A 20,941-nucleotide genomic window follows, 5' to 3' on the forward strand; every position below is an offset into this window, starting at 1 on the left:
CCTCTGGCGGGAGGACAGTTTGCCTCACAGCACATATAATTGGTGATCATCCCAGGCAGGAAGACAAATCTAGCTGATGCCCTGCAGGAACCCCAGGGTCTCAGGTTGAAATGCACCGTCCTTTGCATGCAGGAAAGCAGCAGGTCACGCTGGCAGGTGCTGCTCCCATTCACCTTTCAATGTCAGCTCTCCTGATGGATTTCTAGCCTCCATCCTTCACAGCCCTCCTCAGCTGGAGGCAGGGATCACTGGCACTTGTATGCAGATCACAGCATGTTGGCTCTGGTTCTTATCGGTCAGGACCTGTGCCATTCTGGCTTCTAAATTTTTTGAATATCACCCCAGTTAGATCCTTTTGCAGAATCTCTACCTTCAGGCCCGCTCCAGACACCAAGCCTGGCTTGATGGGGGCTGCAACTTCAGCCTAACATCCAGTGGAACTTACAATGAAGTTATCCTCTCTAGTCCTGGTACCCAGGGGTTCAGCCACAGCTGCTTGTGATGGGCTGTACTACCAAACAGAGGTTACTGTGTCTTGGGGCATGTGTGTGTTTACTCTGCTTTACTGAAGTCATGGAAGAGAGTTACAACACAGTAAACAACTTAATATTCAATACTAGGCATTTTTTGTCCTTAAAAGTCCTTTGCCCACTTTTGCCTCTTGAGGGGCCTTTAGAAATATTGGGCCAGGCCTGGTGGCTCATACCTATAATCTTAGCACTTTGGGAGGCTGAGGCAGGAGGATCACTTGAGGCCAGGAGTTCATGTCCAGCATGGGCAACATAGGGAAATCCTGTCCCTACCAAAAAAAAAGAAAAAAAGGCTGGGGGCAGTGGGTGGGTCACTCCTGTAATCCCAGTATTTTAGGAGGCTGAGGCGGGCAGGTATCTGAGCTCAGGAGTTCAAGACCAGCCTGGGCAACATGGTGAAACCTCGTCTCTAGTAAAATACAAAAAATTAGCTGGGAGTGGTTGCACGTGCCTGTAGTCCCAGCTACTTGGGAGGCTAAGCAGGAGAACTGCTTGAACCTGGGGGGTGGAGGTTGCAGTGAGCTGAGATTGCACCACTACATCTGAGTCTGGGCAACAGAGTGAGACTCTGTCTCCAAAAAAAGAAAAATTAGCCCCCGCCTGGTGGCACACACCTGTAGTCCCAGCCACTCAGGAGGCTGAAGTGGGAGGATCAGTTGAGCCCAGAATTTTGAGGCTGCAATGAACTATGATTGTGCCACTGCACTCCAGCCTGGGTGATGGAATGATCTATATCTATCTGTATATGACATATATATCTCTCATATATGAGAGATATATATGTCATATACAGAAAAGCGTAATACAAACTACCTATGGTATTGGAAGAATCCCAGGAATCGTTGGAGGTCTTGAATGAATTTGAAGAGGGTACTCAGTTCAAGACTACTTTAAGACACACATTTTGTAGATGTCCCAACTAGACACTGTGTGGCCTGGGAATATAGATGTAGATAGATATCTATATCTGTATATGAGATATATAGCTCTCATATCTTATATATATGAGATATATTTCATATATATAAGAAAATAATATATATGAGATACATATAACTCATGTATATGATAATATATCATATATAAGATAATATATGAGATATATATCAAAGATTATATTTAGATATATAATATATCTATATTATATTTAGATACATAAGCTATATATAATCTTATATATGATATATATTTCTTATAAATATATTATAACATAATATAATTGAAAAAAAGTAAACATTGCAGAATTCCCAGGCCACACAGTGTCTAGTTGGGACATCTACAAAGTGTGTGTCTTAAAGTAGTCTTGAACTGAGTACCCTCTTCAAATTCATTCAAGACCTCCAACGATTCCTGGGATTCTTCCAATACCATAGGTAGTTTGTATTACGCTTTTCTGTTGTCACTTCCCCGATTACTGATTGTTTCAGAAAGAGACATGGGCTTGGCTGATCCATGGAGATATCTGCAGCTTGCCAGCAGCTGAAGTCTTTATTTGCCTTTATCTCCGTTGTGGCCTCTGATGAGCCAGACTACAGAGATGCTGATGAAATCTGGGAGGCAATGGTGGAGGCTGTAGTTTCCCAGGAGAACTCTGGCCCTGGGGAATTCCTTCCAGTCTCTGAGTCCCTGTGGCACATCTCCATGTGTGGCGGACTAGGTGATTGCTCCTAGTGATTCTGCTTAGTTCCTTTATTAGAATTATAAGCTTTTTGCCATGTGACTTTGTAGTACATCTCAATAGGTAGAGTCTAATTCCTTGCCCTTCTAACTTTGGGCTTTGGTCATTGGAATGTGAGCAGACACATTTTCCCCCAGCAGAAGTTTTAAATGTGCTGCATGATTTGACTTGACCTCTTGGCAATTGCTTCTCATGTGAAGGGACATGTGGAGCAGACCTGAACTCAACCCAAACCTTGGAGCCAAGCTGAGCTCAGCAGAACCTAGCTGAGCTCAGCCAAGCCAAACCCAGTGTAATCACAGCCAACCTGAAGACTCAGAAGCAAGAAACAAATATTTGTTATAGGGATCTATTGGGATTTGAGAGCTATTTCTCTTTTTTTAAGTTATTGTTATTTTTTGAGATGGAGTCTCACTTTGTCACCCAGGCTGGAGTGCAGTGGAGTGATCTCGGCTCACTGCAACCTCTGCCTCCTGGGTTCAAGCACCACTAGTGCCTCAGCCTCCCGAGTATCTGGGATTACAGGCAGTGCCACCTTGCTTGGCTAATTTTTGTATTTTTTGGTAGAGACAGGGTTTCGCCATGATGGCCAGGCTGGTCTCAAACTCCTGACCTCAGGTAATCCACCCGCCTTAGCCTCCCAAAGTGCTGGGGTTATAGGCATGAGCCACCGTGCCAGGCCTAGGGAGTTCCTTGTTATTGTAGCAAAAGCTGTCTTATATATCATGTCATTAACATGCCCACCTTACACAGTGCTGGTCCCATTCTGATGACAGGAAGATGATACATTTTATCCTTTACCCTTACCATCATTTACTATGTACACTATGCCCATTTGTCAAGCTCTTCTGCCTCCAAAAAGTGCTATGGTACTTGATACCTAATAATGGTCTTTAACTTCTGTCATGCACCCATTTATTTCCCATCTTCAAGACCAAGGGTCCTAGAAATCACAGGAAAGCTGGGGTCAGAACTTATACTCATAACATGGTTGTTCCACCTACTTTGCCATGGCAGACTTTGTATCTCATGGCTCACTTAACTACTTCCCTTGAGCACTCACTGTTCTAACACTCATTTCCCCCAAATCTACAACTTAGCTTCTCTCCCTGGTGCAGTCAAGGCCCTTTTACCTGGAGTCTCCCAGAAGGATTTTCAGGTCATGTGCTATATTAGCTCATCCTTAGGGAAGAACGTTCCAATTGAAGAAGCCATCTGACTCTCCCCCAGGTGTGTGGTCATCTTCTTTGCTCATGCTGGAAGATGGAAGACCCTTTGAAGTAACTTAGTTCAACAAATCTGCCCTTAAGTTGTCTTCCCCCTGGGGATCTGCCCCATCTTCGTCTTCTCCCTGCCACACCAGGTTCATTGAGAGCTCACTCTCCCCCACGGTCCTCTCTCATGTTCCCTGGCATCTTGCAACAGGGAACTTGAGATGCTGATGGGCAGTTGGGTGGATTCTCAATGGTGGCCAGTCCAGCTCCAGGACCTGCCATACTGGAAAGGGTTTGGGGTTGGAGGAATCGGCATGACAACTCACCAGCCTGTATTCCACCCGAATGTAAGCTTCTGTGGGCAGGAGGCTCATCTGTCTTGTTCGCTGCCGTGTTGCTACTGCCAAGCAGTCCCCAGTAGGCTGGTCATGGCTGGTGTCCATTACATATTTGTGCAGCGTATGGGTGAACATACACACATCCTTTCTGAAACAAAATTGAACTCAGTAGGACACTCACTCAGGCAAAGTTTGGGAAGCTTTAGATCCATTCTGGAGGAGGGGGGAGATAGAATCAGAATATATTCATTTAACAAACATTTATGGAGAAGCTACTTTTTTGGCAGACCCCATGCTACAGAAGCAACAGTACACAAAGCCCTGCTTTCATGAAGCTTACAGTCTACCGGGGACTGGGAGAGGCGGACCATAAACACACACATGCACACATATACATGTTCACATCCACACACCCCTGTATCAGATAGTGATAAATATTATGGAGCAAAGAAATCTGGAGGAAAGGATCAAGAGCTCCAGATGGTGATGGTAGGGATAGGGGTGGTGCAGAACAAGCTTTAATAAAACATTAGGTGGTCAGTAAAGGCTCTGCCCTCAAGAGGGATACAATCGCTTCTTAAAGGTCCCACCTCTCAATGCTCCCACTTTTGGGATTCAGTTTCAACATGAGTTTTGGGGGGTCATTTGAATCATAGCACATGGTGTCCACCATCAGCTCTAAGTTTACAGCCTAACACTTCCGCAATAACAAGAAAGAGAGAGAGAGAGAGAGAGAGAGAGAGAGATCTTTCCTAGTTACTTCAGCAAAAGTCCCCAGGTTAGGTCTGATTGGGCTTGCTTGAGGCAGGTGCCCATTTCTGATCTGACCACTGTGGCCCAGACAATGGTTACACCAATTGGCCAAGGCTAGGTCTGATTACCCTAAATCCTACCACAAATAACATTGACTGAGCAGGAAAGGACTGATTCCAGAAGAGATCAATTACTAAAATGTGGTAGGCAGAATTCTGAGATGGCCCCCAAGATCCCTGCTCCCTGGTGTGCACAATCTGTGCAATCTCCTCCTCTCCAGTGCTGCACAATTAGAGGATGTGATGGAATAGCCCTGCCCTGACTGGGCTACTAGTTAGTTGATTTTGAGTTAATCAAAAGGGAGAACATCTGGGTGGGCCTGACCTAATCAGGTGCACCTTTAAAAGGGACTAGGCCCTTCCTGAAGTCAGAGATGCTCAAAGTGTGAGAAAGCCTATGGAGAGGCCACAGGGCAAGGACCTAGGTTTGTCTTTAGGAGGTAAGAGAGGTCTCTGGTCGATAGCCAGCAAGAAAACAAGACCTCAGTCATATTGATGCAGGGTAGATGAACTCCAAACTGGGGCTTAGCCTGTGAGGGTTCTTGGCCTTGCCCAGGAAAGAATTCAAGGGCAAGCTGGAGGTAGAAGAAAACAGCTTTACTGAAGCGGTGGTGTTACAGCTCCTGCAGTGTTACAGCTCCATGACGGCTCCTGCAGAGCAGGGCTACCCTGTAACCAGAGAGTGGCATCTCTGGGCAGTTTTGCAGTCATATTTATACCTGCTTTTAATTATATGCAGATTCAAGGGTGGTTTCTGCAGAACTTTCTAGAGAAGGGGTAGTAACTTTAGGTCATCAGGTCATTGCCATGGAAAGGGGTGGTAACTCCCAGGTATTGCCGTGTCAATGGTAAACTGACCTGGCACACTGGTGGGTGTGTCTTAGGGAAAGCTGCTTCCCTCCCAGCTCTGTTTTAGTTAGTCCTGAACTTGGTCCGGTGTCCAAGCCCCACCTCCAGAGTCAAGTCCTGCCTCCTATCTCAAGATAATCAGAAGGAGCGGAAGTCTGAAAACAACCAATCATCCTGGAAGAAGACCCTGAGCTTTAGATAAGACTACAGCTCCAGCTGACACCTTGATTTCAGCCCCATGAGACCCTGAGCAGAGAATCCGGTTGAGCCGTGCTTGGATTTTGACCTATAGAGCTGTGAGATAATACATTTGTGTTGCTTTAGTTGATGCACTTCTGTCAATTTGTTACACAGCAATGAGAACTGAATAAGGGAGAAACAAATGCTGGGTAGACAGAAGCGACGGATGTGCATGAGGAGCTGAGACAGACAGCTGCCTGGAATTGAGCCTTACTTAGCCTGGAAGGTATGACTATGTCTGTGAATCCTTATTGGAAGAAGTTTTATTGGTCAGACATCCTGTTCCATGTCAGCCTCTCCCTCTAGGATCTTTTGCTTCCTGCAAGGAGTGGGGCCTGGTATGTTTATCTTTTGCATTTGTCATTTATAGTGAGTCAGCATCAATTCATCCTTTCCCACAGTATTGTGAATTTCCTTTGGGGAAGCACACTTTTGGTACTCTCCAGTGGATTAGGTGGCATTAGCCCCACCTTCACTCCAGTGCTGGGCCCTGATTCCCTTAAGTCAATTAGCGTACTCCATTCCCCAGGCCATAATGACTGATTCAGGGATGGACCAAAGAGAGCCAGGCTTTGGATTTTTTATTCAACTGTCAGAGTAAAGAGAAAGAACTTCTCTTTCCTCTGCACATGAATTGGGCAGCCATCTTGAAATAGTAAGAAGAGAAGCTTTATAAAGGAATGAAATTAAGAAATGGAGTGAGAAGAATGGAGTTAAGAAATGGTGTGAGGTCAGGCATGGTGGCTGACACCTGTAATCCCAGAACTTTGGGAGGCTTAGGTGGGTGGGAGGATTACATGAGCCCAGGAGTTCGAGACCAGCCCTGGCAACATAGTGAGACTCCCTGTTTCTATAAATAATGAAAAGAATTAGCTGGGCATTGTGGTGCATGCCTGTGGTCCTAGCCACTCAGGAGGCTGAGGTGGGAGGATTGCTTGAGCCTGGGAGGTTGAGGCTATAGTGAGCTGAGATTGCACCATTGCACTCCAGCTTGGGTGACAGAGTGAGATCCTGTTAAAAAAAAAAGAGAGAAAGAAGGAAAGACAAAAAGAAAAAGAAAGAAAGAAGGAAAGAAAAAAAGAAAAAAGAAAGGGTGTGAGAAACACTGGGTCCTGGCAAAAGATGTTGGCACCTGCATCAAACCATACCTGCAGGTTTGCCCCTGGACCTTTCAGTTATATGAACAAATATGGGTTGGATTTCCTTATACTTACAAGTAGTTGGGTTGCTTTCTTTTTTCCTGTTTATTTTTCTTGCTCATGAGATGCACACAAATTGTTTTTTATTATGGGTATAAGTGATCACAAAGTGCCCGTTTTCTCTATAACCTGAACAGAGAGAGTATGGGCATCTCAGCTTCACTGGGCCACAGCATCAATCTTTACCCTGAATTCAGCTTTGATGCACCTGAGTGCCTGATGAGCTACAGGGATCCTGTTTCTGAAAACTTTACGTGGGTGACAAAATAGCAAAATAGTGTGTGAGGCCTTTGCCTTGAGACCTGGGTTTGTTCCGGAGACAACTCTAATGGAGGAGAGAGATTTGCTCCTCCCACTCTCCTCGCTGACATTTGGCCTCAGGGGACTGAGTCATACCCGACTGACTCCATGTATATAAGTGTGAATGGCAGTCTGGTAGTCCAACCAGGTGATGCTTCCTGTCCCCGGAGGGTAGCCAATATCATCTCCTGCTTTTCTTCCTCCTGATTTAGCATCACTCAGGGCAGGAATTCTGGGCTGGAGGAGAGGGGCCTATAGTTCTCTTGTATGGTCTGAGTTTGCTCACACAGCAACCTGCTCTTATCTAGTCTGATTTTTTTCAACAGCATCCTGTTGTACCTTGTCATCTGGCTCTGTGGACAGGCCTTTCTGGTCTTCACACTGATGCAGGTTTGTTAGTTTTTTTCCTCCTTGTTAATGTATAGTCAGGAATTTAACATCCTTGACTGTCCTCATCATCGGACACCCTCACTAGTCTTGTCAAGTCTTAGCTATACAAATGAAAGCATGGAAGCTTGGAGGTGATATGTCATGATGCTGAATCCTAGGACTGAGCCCCGTGAATATGCTGTTAAGGTTCTTCAATCCCCACTTGCCTTCTGGGCCTGCCGCTCTTGCAACATCCTTGTGTCATGCTCAAAGACCTTTGCAGTGCCCAGTTCTGTGTTTCCTAACAGCATCTTTGTTTTGGGTGCATTCTTTGATATTGGATGCTTGAAATGGACTAATCAGGTCCTGGCAGGCAATGGATGCACATTAAAATCAATTACTTGAGGACAGTTTAGCAAAGAGAGTATTTACAGAAGCATGGACTGGGTTAAATGAAACAAAGGATGTGAGGTACTCTGGAACTGTCAACAGCACAGAGCCCTTACCAACCAGGTCTAAAAGGGAAGGGGAGAGAGACTCCTGGAATCCAGAAAGAACTGTAGTGTGATTACTCAACCTTCCTACCCACTGCATAGACAAAACCAGTTTGCTGAGACTGTGGTATTGCAGTGAAGAAAGAGTTTAATTAACTTGAGGCTGGCCATGTGGAAGAACTGGAGTTATCACTCAAATCAGTCTCCCCAAAAACTTGGAGGTTGTGGTTTTTCTTTTCTTTTCTTTTCTTTTTGAGGTGGAGTTTTGCTCTTGTTGCCTGGGCTGGTGTGCAATGGTGTGCTCTTGGCTCACCGCAACCTCCGCCCCCCGGGTTCAAGTGATTCTCCTGCTTCAGCCTCCCAAGTAGCTGGGATTACAGGCATGTGCCACCATGCCCGGCTAATTTTGTATTTTCAGTAGAGACAGGTTTTCTCCATGTTGGTCAGGCTGGTCTCGAACTCCTGACCTCAGGTGATCCCCTCGCCTTGGCCTCCCAAAGTGTTGAGATTACAGGTATGAGCCACCGCACCCAGCCTGTGGTTTTTCAAAGATAGTTTGGTGGGCAGAGGACTAGGCAATGGGTGCTGCTGATTAGTTGGGGATGCAATAGAGGTGTGGGAAATGGTCCTGGTGCTCTGAGTCCACCTCTGGGTAGGGGCCACAGGACCAGTTGAGTCATGAGTTACAAGTCCAGGTGGGGTCAGTTATTTGCCAGAATGCAAAGTCTGAAAAACATCTCACAAGACCAATCCTAGGTTCTATAATAGTGATGTTATATATGGGAGCAATTGGGGAAGTCACAAATCTTGTGACTTATAGAACAATGGCTGGTTCTAAAACTATGCCTAAGACTATGCCTCCATTTTAGCAGAATTCAGGCCCCTCCCTAATCTTGTGGCCTTTCCTTAGTTTTACAAAGGTGGTTTAAGCCCTGAAACAATGAGGGAATCAGTTTTAGTGGAACACTATTATCATCCTTGCTTTCAAATTAAACTATAAACTAAATTCCTGTCCAGGTGCAGTAGCTCACACCTGCAATCCCAGCACTTTGGGATGCCAAGGCAGGCAGATTGCTTGAGCCCAGGAGTTCAAGACCAGACTGGGCAACATGGCGAAGCCCCATCTCCACAAAAAATACAAAAAAGTTAACATGCACCTGCAGTCCTAGCTACTCTGGAGGCTGAGGTGGGAGGACCACCCTGAGACCAGGGAATTCGAGGCTGTGGTGAGCCGTGATCATGCCACTGCACTCCAGCCTGGGTGACAGAGTGAGGCCTTGTCTCAAAAAGCAAATAAATAAAATAAAAAAATTCATCCCATGATTAACTTGGCCTATGCCCAGGAATGAGTGAGGACAGTTAGCCTGTGAGGCTAGAAACAAGATGGAGTCAGCAACACCAGATTCTCTCACTGTCATAATCTTTGCAAAGGCAGCTTCAGTAGCTGTGAGAAAGAGCCGCCCAACAAGGGCTGTAGCAGCTTTTCCCAGTGGTGCCAATGCTTCCCTAGTCCAGGCTCTGGGGAATTCTCTCTTGGAAGACACAGCAGGCTGGAGTTGAGGGTGGGGACTTTAATCCTCCTCTGCACATTGCCAGGAACCACCTTTTCCCTTCCAGAGCAGACTTTCATTTTAAAAGCTATTTTGTGTTCAGCTTCTGAAAGCCCATGTGTTTGCTCATTCCCAGGAGAATTTTTATGACTTCTACACTTTTAAAAAGCTCATGTGAAGCTGCCTGGCTTCTGTCTAGGTTTTGGATACTTTCTGCTTGCGCCTCCAAATCCGCTGTCCGTTCTTCTCAACTCTAGTGTGCCCAGGGAGCCAGACTGGCCAGTGGGGACCCAGTAGGAGATTGGAGGGTGGAAGGGGAGGTCAGGGTATTTATTCCTTTGGCTTCTTTCCTTCCGGGCTGAGAGTTTGCAGTGGCTCAGTTTCTCCCCAAAGGCCACAGTTCCTGTTGGGCAGCTCTGTCTTACAGCGACAGCTCTCTCTGGGTTCCAGGATTCTCTCTCTCTCTCTCCTTCCCTTTTAGACCCCACTGTTGATAATACCAGCGTGCTCCACATCCTTGTTTTCTCTTAATCCTGTCCACACTTCTGTAAATAATCTCTTTCCTAAACTGTCCTCAATTACCCCATTGGAGTGTGCATCTGTTTTTTGCTGGGGCCTTGATTGCTCCATTTCAAACACCCAGTGTCAAAGAATTCACCCCTGAAGGCTGCAAGGGGAACCTCAGGGAAGCTTCCGCAATGTCTCTCTGTTTCCAGGTGGTAGTCCACCTCCGGCGTAGCCTGAACCAGGTCAATGAATGCTGCCTATTTTATATGATCAAGTTTGTCATTGAGGTCGTGAAGATGCATACCTCTTACTTCTGGCTTGGGGACAGTTGGGCACTGCCCCCTAGTTAATGACTGTGGATACAGTTCTCAAATTAATCTGGGTGTCAGCTGAGTCCATCAGCCAGTGAGTAGCCCCTGATTGCATGGCCAAGGAAAACCAAAACTTCACCAGGGTTTCTGCAAATGACTGTCTCAGGACTCCTTCTGGTTGCATGCTATCGATGTACCTCCTTGCCCCAGGTGTGAATCCTCTGAAATAATTCATAGTGGAACATTGTGGTAGACAGCTTCTAAGATGACCCCAAATGATCCCTGCCACCTCATATTCACGTCCTTTTGTGACCCCTTGCCCTGACTGTGGGCTGGACCTAGTGACTAGCTTTTATTTTTTTATTTTCACTTAAAAAATAATTTCTCGGCCAGGTACGGTGGCTCACGCCTGTAATCCTAGCACTATGGGAGGCTGAGGCGGGCGGATCACGAGGTCAGGAATTCAAGACCAGCCTGGCCAACATAGTAAAACCTTGTCTCTACTAAAAAAAAAATGCAAAAATTAGCTGGGTATGGTGGTGCGCTCTTGTAGTCCCAGCTACTTGGGAGGCTGAGGCAGGAGAATCGCTTGAATCCAGGAGGTGGGGGTTGCAGTGAGCTGACAGTGAGCTGTCTCTTTTTTTGAGACAGGGTCTTGCTCTGTGGCCCAGGATGAGTACAGTGACACAATCACGGCTCACTGCAGCCTTGAACTCCTGGGCTCAAGCAATCCTCCCACCTCAGCCTTCCAAGTAGTTGGGACCACAGGTGCACACCACAATGCCTGGCTAATTTTTAATTTTATTGTAGAGAGGAAGTCTCCCTATGTTGCCCAGGCTGGTCTTGATTTCCTAGGCTCAAGTGATCCTTCTGCCCCAGCCTCCCAAAGTGCTGGGGTTACTGGCATGAGCCACTGTGAACAGCCTATAATTTCAACTTTTATTTTAGATGTAGGGGATACATGTGCAGGTTTGTTACATGGGTATGTTGTCTGTTGCTGATGTTTGGGGTATGACTGGTTCTGTCACCCAAATAGTGAGCATAGTTTGTCAGCCCTTTTGTCTCTCCCTCTCTCTCATCTAGCAGTCCCCGTTTTTTGTTTTTTTTTTTTTTTTGAGACAGAGTCTTGCTCTGTTGCCCAGGCTGGAGTGCAGTGGCATGATCTTGGCTCACTGCAACCTCCACCTTCCAAATTCAAGTGATCCTCATGCCTCAGCCTCCTGAGTAGCTGGGATTACAGGTGCTTGCCACCACGCCCTGCTAATTTTTGTATTTTTAGTAGAGACAGGGTTTTGCCATGTTGGCCAGGCTGGTCTTGAACTCCTGACCTCAAGTGATCCACCCAGCTTGGCCTCCCAAAGTGCTGGGATTATAGGTGTGAGCCACCATGCCCAGCTGTAGTCCCCAGTTTTTATTGTTCGTATGTTTATATCCATGTGTACCCAATGTTTAGCTCTTGCTTATAAATGAGAACATGCAGTATTTGGTTTTCCATTCCTACATTAATTCACCTAGGAAAATAGCTGCCAGCTGCATCTATGTAGCTGCAAAGGGTATGATTTTGTTCCTTTTTATGGCTGTGTAGTATTCCATGGTATATATGTACCACATTTTCTTTTTCCAATCCTCCATTGATGGGCACCTAGGTTGATTCAATGTCTTTGCTTTTGTGAATAGTGCTGCAATGAACATATGGGTGACTAGCTTTTAATCAGTAGAACACAGCAAAGGTGACGGCATTTCAGTTTGAGATTAGGTTACCAAACACACGGACTTCTGTCTTGCTAGCACACACTCTGTCTTGCCTTCTTGCTGTTACTGAACCTAACTTGGGTCCCCCTGCCCAGCACAGCAAAATCAAACATTGATATTGGGATTGTAGCAAGAGGAAGTGGGGTATTTATTGGAGGGGCACCAAGCAAAGATAATTAGTTAATGCTTAAGTCCCAAGCTCCCGGATGGCTTATAGGTAAGGATTTGTAATTGCAGGAAGGCAGAGGTTACATGCAAAGTTATAAATCAATATATGGGAGGCTCTACATTGGTTTGACCTAAAAAGGCAGGACGTCTCAAAGTGGGAACCCATGGGTCAAAGGTAGATTTAAAGATGTTTTGATTTGTAATTGGCTTAGGAGGAGAAGCCTTGTCTAAAAATTTGAGATCAGTGGAATGTTAGTTCTGGCCTGGGGTGTGACTTCCTCTACTCCCCTTAGGAAGAAATTTAGAACTGAGAAAAGTATTAAGAGTTTAGCCTTCAGGTCCCCCTTATCTGAGTCTTGTGTGTTGCTGGACCCATTTAGTGGGGAGTCCTCATTTTTGAAAAACAATCTATGAACATTAGTTTTTATAGGGAAGCCAAACATCCCATGATTTTAACTTTTTTGCCCATTATTCTAAGCTACTATTATCTTCTTGCTTATTAAGTTGTTTATTGATGTATTTATTTATTTCTGAGACAGAGTCTTTCTCCATTGCCCAGGCTGGAGTGCAATGGCATGATCTCGGCTCACTGCAACCTCCACCTCCTGGGTTCAAGTAATTCTCCTGCTTCAGCCTCCTGAGTAGCTGGGACTACAGGCATGCGCCACCACTCCTGGCTAATTTTGTATTTTCAGTACAGATGGGGTTTTGTCATGTTGGCCAGGCTGGTCTTGAACTCCTGACTGCAAGTGATCCACCTGCCTCAGCTTCCCAAAGTGCTGGGATTACAGGCATGAGCCCCCGTGCCCGGCCTTATTTATTTTTTAAGGGCTAGCTAAGTGCCTGGAATTTTTCTTAAAGGAACTTAAGATTTTTCTTTATTTCTATGTTTGAGGGTGGGAGTGCTGCATGTCCCTAAGAGAGGTCCCTGTTCTGCCTCATTGCCTGCTTGCTCTGATAAATCAAGCTGTTGTGTTGTGAGCTGCCCTTCGGAGAGGCCCACGTGGCAAGGATCTGAAAGCGGCTTCTGACAACAGTTCATGGGAAACGAATCCTGCCAATAATCATGTGGGTGCACTTGGAAGTGGATCCTGCCCCAGTTGAGTCTTGAGATGAGACCTAGCTTACACCTAGATAGCAACCCATGGGAGACCCTGAAGCAGGGGGCCCATCTTCGAATTCCTAACCCACAGAAACTGTGAGATAATAAATGTGTTGTTTTAAGCCACTGAGTTTTGGAATAATTTGTTACACAGCAATAGATAGCCGATATAGCAGTGTAGACTTTAGTTGATGATTCCGGTGGGGAGACCAAAGTGAAATTTACATTGCACACTTCACAAAAAGTAACTAACTAACCAACCCATCAGTCATTTCTGTGCTTCCTCAGCCCTCTCAATGCTGAGGGCTCCTCTTTCTTGCTCTTGTTCTCTCTCAATATCATTTTCTAATTTGGCCATGTCTAGCTTCATTGCATATTATCTTTCTCTGGATTGTCAGTTTTTTCTGTGTCCATTTTGGCAGAGAATTTTAGTTTTTTATGATTTTTTTTCTTTAGAGATGGAGTCTCACTCTGTTGCCCAGGCTGGCCTCAAAGTCCTGGGCTTAAGCAATCCTCCCCACTTGGCCTCCCAGAGTGCTGGGATTACAGGCATGAGCCATCACACCTGGCCCTTTCTACTTCTACTCCCAAACGTGTTGGCCAACTCCTCAAGGTATTCAGCAGGAAAAAATCCTCTCTATTAATGCAGCGCACCTTTCCTGGGCAGCAGTGTGGGTTATAGATACATGAAATATCTATTACATAAGTCTCTCAGCTTCTTCCTGCATATATTGCTATTCAACTGCTTAAAGCTATTGAAAAATTCATGCAAACAAAATTTTAATCTAACAGAGAAAATATCTTTGTGACATTGTTCAAATCAAGTTATATCATGTATGAAGGAGAAGCACATTCCACCGAGAAAAGCTTTTTAAACCCTCTGCTTTTTGACATTTTAACCAGTATGTTAGATAAGAAGGCTGGTATGGAAATATAGTTAGCAACATTGTTGGAAAATATAGGCTAGAAAAGAGTTCAAGAATATGTATCCATTGAACTTGATGAAATAATTTTAGAAGCTGAGGCTGTGAAATCTTGACAGCAAAACTGAAGAGACACTGTAGAGTTCCCATTTTGCAGATTTATATTTGGTTGGTTCATGCAGGCAGACTCCAGGAGAACTAAGACTTTGTTAAATACCTAACACATACCCAGTAAGAAGGATAAATGTAGGTGTTCACATCAGGGTTTTAAACACGTGATCCAATAAATCAGCAAAAAGGCAGCAAAGCAATTGTAGTAATGGTTAAAAAAAAAAAAAAAAAGGAGTGGGGAAGACTTCAGGAGCAGGAATTGTATAAAAATACATCCAAATGTGGCTATTTCTGACTACTTCATTTAAATGTGAGCCTCTATCCGTTCTCACCTGGATTCCAGCAAGAACTTCCTAGCAGTTTTCTCTGTTTGAGATTTGCTTTCTTGGGGTCTATTTTCAACAAGGCAACTGGAATAATACTTAAAAAAAAAAGTATCAGGCTGGGCACGGGGGCTCATGCCTGTAATCTTGGTACTTTGGGAGGCTGAGGTAGGAAGGATCACTTGAGGTCAGGAGTTTGAGACCAGCCTGGGCAACATAGCTAGACTCTGTCTTTACAATACATAAATAAATAAGTAAATACATACATTAGTCAGGTGTGGTGGCACATGCGTGTAGTCCCAGCTGCTTGGGAGGCTGAGGTGGGAGGATCACTTGAGCCTGGGAGGTTGAGGCTGCAGGGAGATGTGTCCCTGCCACTGCATTCCAGCCTGAGTGACAGAGTGAGACCCTGTCTCCAATCTCTCTCTCTCTCTTCTATCTTCTATTTAATTTATCTATCTATCTATACACACACACGAAGTATCAGAACATTATTCATGATAGCCAAAAGGTTAAAAAAACCCCAAATGTCCATTAGCTGAATGGATAGTTAAATTGTTGTACAGTATATCCATACAATGAAACATTACTTGGCAATTTAAAAAATGAAGTATGAGTAGTCATATTTATAGAGACAGAAAGTACAATGGTGGTTGCCATACCAGGGACTGGGGTGGGGTGGGGAATGGGAATTGTTGTTTAATGGGTACAGAGTTTCAGTTTGGAGAGGTGACAAGAGTTCTGGAGATGGATGGTGGGTATGGTTACACAACAGTGTGAATATACTTACTGCCATGAAACGATACACTTGAAAATGGTAAAGATTGTTAAAAAAAAACTCAAAAGGACTGAAGTGCTGATATATGCTACAACATAGACGAACCTTGAAAATCTTATTCTAAGAAGCCAGATGCAAAATGTCACATGTAGTATGATTCCATTGATATGAAATGTTCAGAATAGGCAAATGTATAGAAAGTAGATTAGTGGTTGCCCAAGGCTGGGTAGGGGTTTTGCGGGAAGGGTTGAGAAAATGGGGAGTGATGGCTAATGGGTAAAGACTTAAATGGGTGATGGGATGATAAAAAGTTCTAACGTAGATTACGGGCAGGTGCTGTGGCTCATGCCTGTAATCCCAGCACTTTGGACCCGAGGCAGGTGGATCACTTGAAGCCAGGAGTTTGAGACAAGCGTGGCCAACGTGGTGAAACCCCATCTCTACTAAAAATACAAAACTTAGCCAGGCGTGATGGCACATGCCTGTAATCCTAGTTACTTGGGAGGCCAAAGTGGGAGGATCGCTTGAACTCAGGAGATGGAGGTTGCAGTGAGCTGAGATCACGCCACTGCACTCCAGCTCTGGACAATAGAGCTAGACTCTGTCTAAAAAAAAAAAAAAAATTATAATGATGGTTGTACTACATTGTGAATATATAAAAATCCATTGAATTGTAAACTTTAAATGGGTGAATTTTATGTCAATTAAAGCTATTTTTTAAAAAAGACCTATATGAAAAACTTGAATTTTGGGGAGTTAGTTGTATTAACCAGGCCCTATCCAGTCTTTTTTTCAAAATTACAGATGGGGGTCTCACTCTGTCACCCAGGCTGGGGTGCAGTGGCGTGATCATAGCTCACTTCAGCTTCCCAAAGAGCTGGGATTACAGGCGGATGCCACAATGTCTGGCTAACTAAAAAAAAATTTTTAAGAGATGAGGGGTCTCACGATGTTGCCCAGGCTGGTCTTCAACTCCTGGCCTCAAGTGATCCTCTCGCCTCAGCTCACAGGCGTGAGCCACCATACCTGGCTTATCTAAGAAAGCCACCATACCTGGCTTATCTTTCTCTCATCTTGAGAAAGAATGAATTCAGTTTGGTTACTGCACATTGAAGAGTAAGCTATCCTCAACATCCAGTAACACACCATAGCCTTTCCAAAGGTAGAAATGGTGATAGGGTCAAATAAGTATTTGTTTCACAGCATTTGAAGAAAAAAAGGCAGATTATGTTATTCCTTTGCTCAAAACCTTCCAGTGGTTTTCCATGTTAATGAGTGGAAACTAAAGTTCTTAAAATTGCCTACAAGGTCCAATACACTCAGTTTCCCACCTGCGACTTGTTTGAGCTTACCCCCTACTTCCTTCAGCCATGCTGACCTTCTCCCCATCCGTCCCATGCCCTGGACCCACTCCTGCCCCAGGCCTTTGCACCTGCTGGCTGTGACCTCCGCCTCCGAAATTGTTTTGCCAAATTCCCTCATAGCTTGCTCACTTATACCTTCTTTAGTTCAAATGTCACTTCTTGGCCACCTGTCTGGCCACCCGCCACGGAAGTGCATTCCTGACATTTTCTGCTTTTCCGCTTTTCTTCCCTCCTTCATTTTTTTCCCATGACACACCTGCACAATACACAGTTTGTTCATTCTTTGGTTCATTGTCTCCTCACACCCACTCAAGAATGTAGTACAAAGGCAGGGATTTTTGTCCATCTTGTTCACCGCTGTATCCTCAGTACCTTTATAATGGTGTTTGGCACATAGTAGTAACTCAATAAGTATTTGTTAAATGAACAAATGAAAAGCTGCCATGTGTTCAAGAAGTCATTGTGTGTTGCATAGGAAAACAGTAGCTGTTAAGGAGATACCAGCATCCTACAAATAGTGGAGGAAAATGCCATGCAAGTTGCCAAATTGATTAAAGTGTGCCTTTTAACTTGTAGACTCCGGAGGGTAGCTTACACAAATATGAACAATTGTTCCCTTATATGTACAATTTGCCCCTGATTTTTCATTCCAGCTGTCACACAATTGCCTGGAGGATTTTTTTTTTTTTTTTTTGAGACGGCCGTCACCCAGGCTGGAGTGCAGTGGCACGATCTCGGCTCACTGCAAACTCCACCTCCCAGGTTCACACCATTCTCCTGCCTCAGCCTCCTGGGTAGCTGGGACTACAGGTGCCCGACACCACGCCCGGCTAATTTTTTTGTATTTTTAGTAGAGAGAGGGTTTCACCTTGTTAGCCAGGATGGTCTCGATCTCCTGACCTCATGATCCACCCACCTCGGCCTCCCAAAGTGCTGGGATTATAGGCGTGAGCCACCGCGCCCGGCCGAGGATTGTTAAACATCATTTAATAAGTGGGTCTTTGCTGCCCTTCTCCCAGGAATAGAGTGTATAGAGTTGCCCATGTGAGAAGCAGCCAAAGCCCAGGTCAGCACCTGCAATGAGGAGTGGCTGCCTGGTTGAATGGAGCGGGGCTTCTGTTTGAAACCTCACTGGTTTTCTCTGTTGACAGCATCTTGATATATATGGCATGTGTCTCCTGACCTTAGTGGCCTCTCACAAAACTCTGGAGCATAACAGTGCATCTCTTTGAGATTCTCTTAGCAGCATAGTCCATAGGTGAATTCTCTATGGACTATGTGTCTTATATTTTAAACCAATTTAAACCAAACCCATCACAAAAGTACCCTCCAACTTTGGTGAAAACCTGTCCAGCCATTTTCTTATGATATTGTAAGACAGAAACTTAATTTTTTTTTTGGAGACAGTCTTGCCTTGTTGCCCAGGCTGGAGTGCAGTGGTGAGATTTCAGCTCACTGCAACCTCTGCCTCCTGGTTTCAAGCGATTCTTATGCCTCAGCTACCTGAGTAGCTGGGACTGTCGGCACACACCACCACACCCGGATGATTTTTGTATTTTTAGTAGAGACAGGGGTTTCACCATGTTGCCCAGGCTGGTCTTAAACTCCTGGCCTCAAGCAATCCACCCACCTTGGCCTCCCAAAGTGCTAGGATTACAGGCATGAGCCACCACGCCCAGCCTGTATTTTAATCTCCAGGTAAAATAAGAACCAGAAAGACTGGGTCTTGTGTTTGCAGTATGTGGAACTGCAAATTAAGACTTTCAAATAAGGTTGAAGCCCGAGAGACAATGGTAGGTAAGGGATGGGTCTGTGGAGGGCTCTGGACAAAAACCTATGTCTACCCACAATTGGTATGCAGATTATCTTGAGTAGTTGGGATTACAGGTGCCTGTCACCATGCCTGGCTAAGTTTTGTATTTTTAGTAGAGATAGGGTTTCACCATGTGGCCAAGCTGTTCTCAAACTCCTGACCTCAAGTGATCCACCTGCCTTAGCCTCCCAAAGTGCTGGGATTACAGGCATGAGCCACCACATCAGGCCTAGAAATGGTATTTAAGGTTTACTTATCTGATAACCTGATTTCCTCCCTAGAGAAAGAATTAAATTGTTTTTAGCTGATTGAATGGGGGCTTGGGTGACATTTCAGGAGAGTTAGAAAGTGTACGTGTATATTTAAAGACTGATTTGTAAGTTGACACTTGAATATATGTAAGAGTAGTCAACTTGGTTTGAAACAGTCTTTTTTATTCTTTTTGGTTTATTGGTAACTGTGAGTTGATTTATCCCTAAAATAGTTCAAAGCCTTTTCTGTTTTAGCTCTGGGAATAATGTTTTTCTTCTTTTCAAAGATGTAATATTTCTGTTAACACTATAGAAAGATAAGAAAGATAAGAACCTTCAGGGCTCTTTGAAGACAAAATTGTATTCTGAATTGGGCATTCATTAGACTGAGCGGATAAATCTCTAAATCTGGGTTTTATGATTTTAGGTTTGTTTGTTTAATGGATTTCTTTGCTTAAACTTCAGGTGCATGCATGATAATTTTGAAGAGCAGAGAGATGGACAAATGTGATTTGATTTATAAGTCTTTTCAAAGGCATTTGAAAATGTATTTCAGGTTTAGTTAAGCTTATTTTTCACACTCTTAGTTGAAGGCAGGAGTGATTGTTTTCCTCCCTCCACACCTCGAAAGATGGAATGGTTTTTCACTTATAAATTTTTCCATCTCAGAAAAGGAGGAGCAGAGGTTTTCCAGAAGGGTTAAGAATAAAGGTGGGGAAGGCAAGCCCTTGTTACCATAAGAGCAGGAATCCATACGGAAGAGTGGCTGGTTTAGATTTGCTGGCTTGAGAGTGGATTATTTTATCCAACTCTTGATCAGTGTTGTGAGAATTAAGTAAGATAATGGATTTAAGGGGCTTAGAAGTGTCCAATCAATGTTAGCTACTGTTGTTATTCTCAGTACTACATGTAGGCTTGATGGATATATTTGGAGACATTTGTACCAAGGGTTATGGGGCAATAAGTGCGTGGTTCACCATTTGGCCCAGTGAACTTTTCAGGACTTAGGATGAGGAAGGCGGGAAAAGCCCTGGGGCTGGCAGGTTTAGAGGGAGACTCTTGCATTATGGTCCTGAGAGCCCCAGGATAGGAGATGACCTTTATCACAAGATCTGAGAACTGCTGCTATCTCGGGCTTCTGGGATAATGAGCTGGAAGCTCACACTCTGACAATGGAGGGATTTTTTTTTTTTTTTTTGATGGAGTCTTGCTCTGTCACCCAGGCTGGAGTGCAGTGGCGCGATCTCGGCTCACTGCAAGCTCCGCCTCCCGGGTTCTTGCCATTCTCCTGCCTCAGCTTCCCGAGTAGCTGGGACTGCAGGTGCCTGCCACCACGCCCGGCTAATTTTTTGTATTTTTAGTAGAGACGGGGTTTCACTGTGTTAGTCAGGATGGTCTCAATCTCCTGACCTCGTGATCCACCCTCCCCGGCCTCCCAAAGTGCTGGGATTACAGGCATGAGCCACCGTGCCCGGCCCAATGGAGGGATTTTTTATAGCATTATGTCTACCTGGCTTTTCATATGACTTGTGTCCTGCTCATGCAGCTTTGATGACTTCTGAAGTACAGATGTTCCTTGACTTACAATGAGGTTGCATCTCAATAAACCCACTGTAACTTGAAAATATCTTAAGTAAAACTTGCTTTAATACACCTAACCTACTGAACATCATAGCTTAGCCTAGCCTACCTTAAACATGCTTAGAACACTTACATTAGCCTAAGGTTGGGCAAAGTCATCTAAAATAAAGCCTGTTTTATAATAAAGTGTTGAATATCTCACATAATTCATTGAACATTGTACTGAAGGGGCAAACCAGAATGGTTGTATGGGTACTTGAAGTACAGTTTCTACTGAATGCACATTGTTTTTGCACCATTGTAAAGCTGAAAAATTGTAGATTTAACCAATGTAAGTTGGAGACCATCTGTGTTTTGTTCCTCCTTAAAGCATACAAAAGTGTA

At 44.6% G+C, this 20,941-nt stretch overlaps 1 long non-coding RNA gene across 3 annotated transcripts in view, besides 1 other annotated feature; it reads right to left on the minus strand.

The window, feature by feature from the left end:
• LOC112268175 (uncharacterized) overlaps window positions 1-20,941 on the minus strand; it is a 30,600-nt gene that overhangs the window by 2,174 nt on the left and 7,485 nt on the right. For 2 of the 3 annotated variants that reach the window (XR_002957911.2, XR_002957910.2), the window contains exons 2-3: window positions 3,749-3,908; window positions 3,342-3,464 (exon numbers count right to left, since the gene is read on the minus strand). This is a non-coding gene — a long non-coding RNA (uncharacterized LOC112268175). Of the gene's footprint in view, window positions 1-3,062; window positions 3,152-3,341; window positions 3,465-3,748; window positions 3,909-20,941 lie in introns of those variants that run through there. The other variant, XR_002957912.2, reaches the window with a different exon arrangement.
• Window positions 2,545-3,045: an enhancer, noted in NCBI's record as "H3K27ac hESC enhancer chr16:22593503-22594003 (GRCh37/hg19 assembly coordinates)". NCBI's record gives its function as "activates a minimal SCP1, AML or CMV promoter by ChIP-STARR-seq in primed H9 embryonic stem cells {active_cell/tissue: H9 hESC(primed)}" and the evidence as "EXISTENCE:reporter gene assay evidence [ECO:0000049][PMID:30033119]".

Source organism: Homo sapiens, chromosome 16 (assembly GCF_000001405.40).
Source record: "Homo sapiens chromosome 16, GRCh38.p14 Primary Assembly".
Classification (NCBI taxonomy): Eukaryota; Metazoa; Chordata; class Mammalia; order Primates; family Hominidae; genus Homo; species Homo sapiens.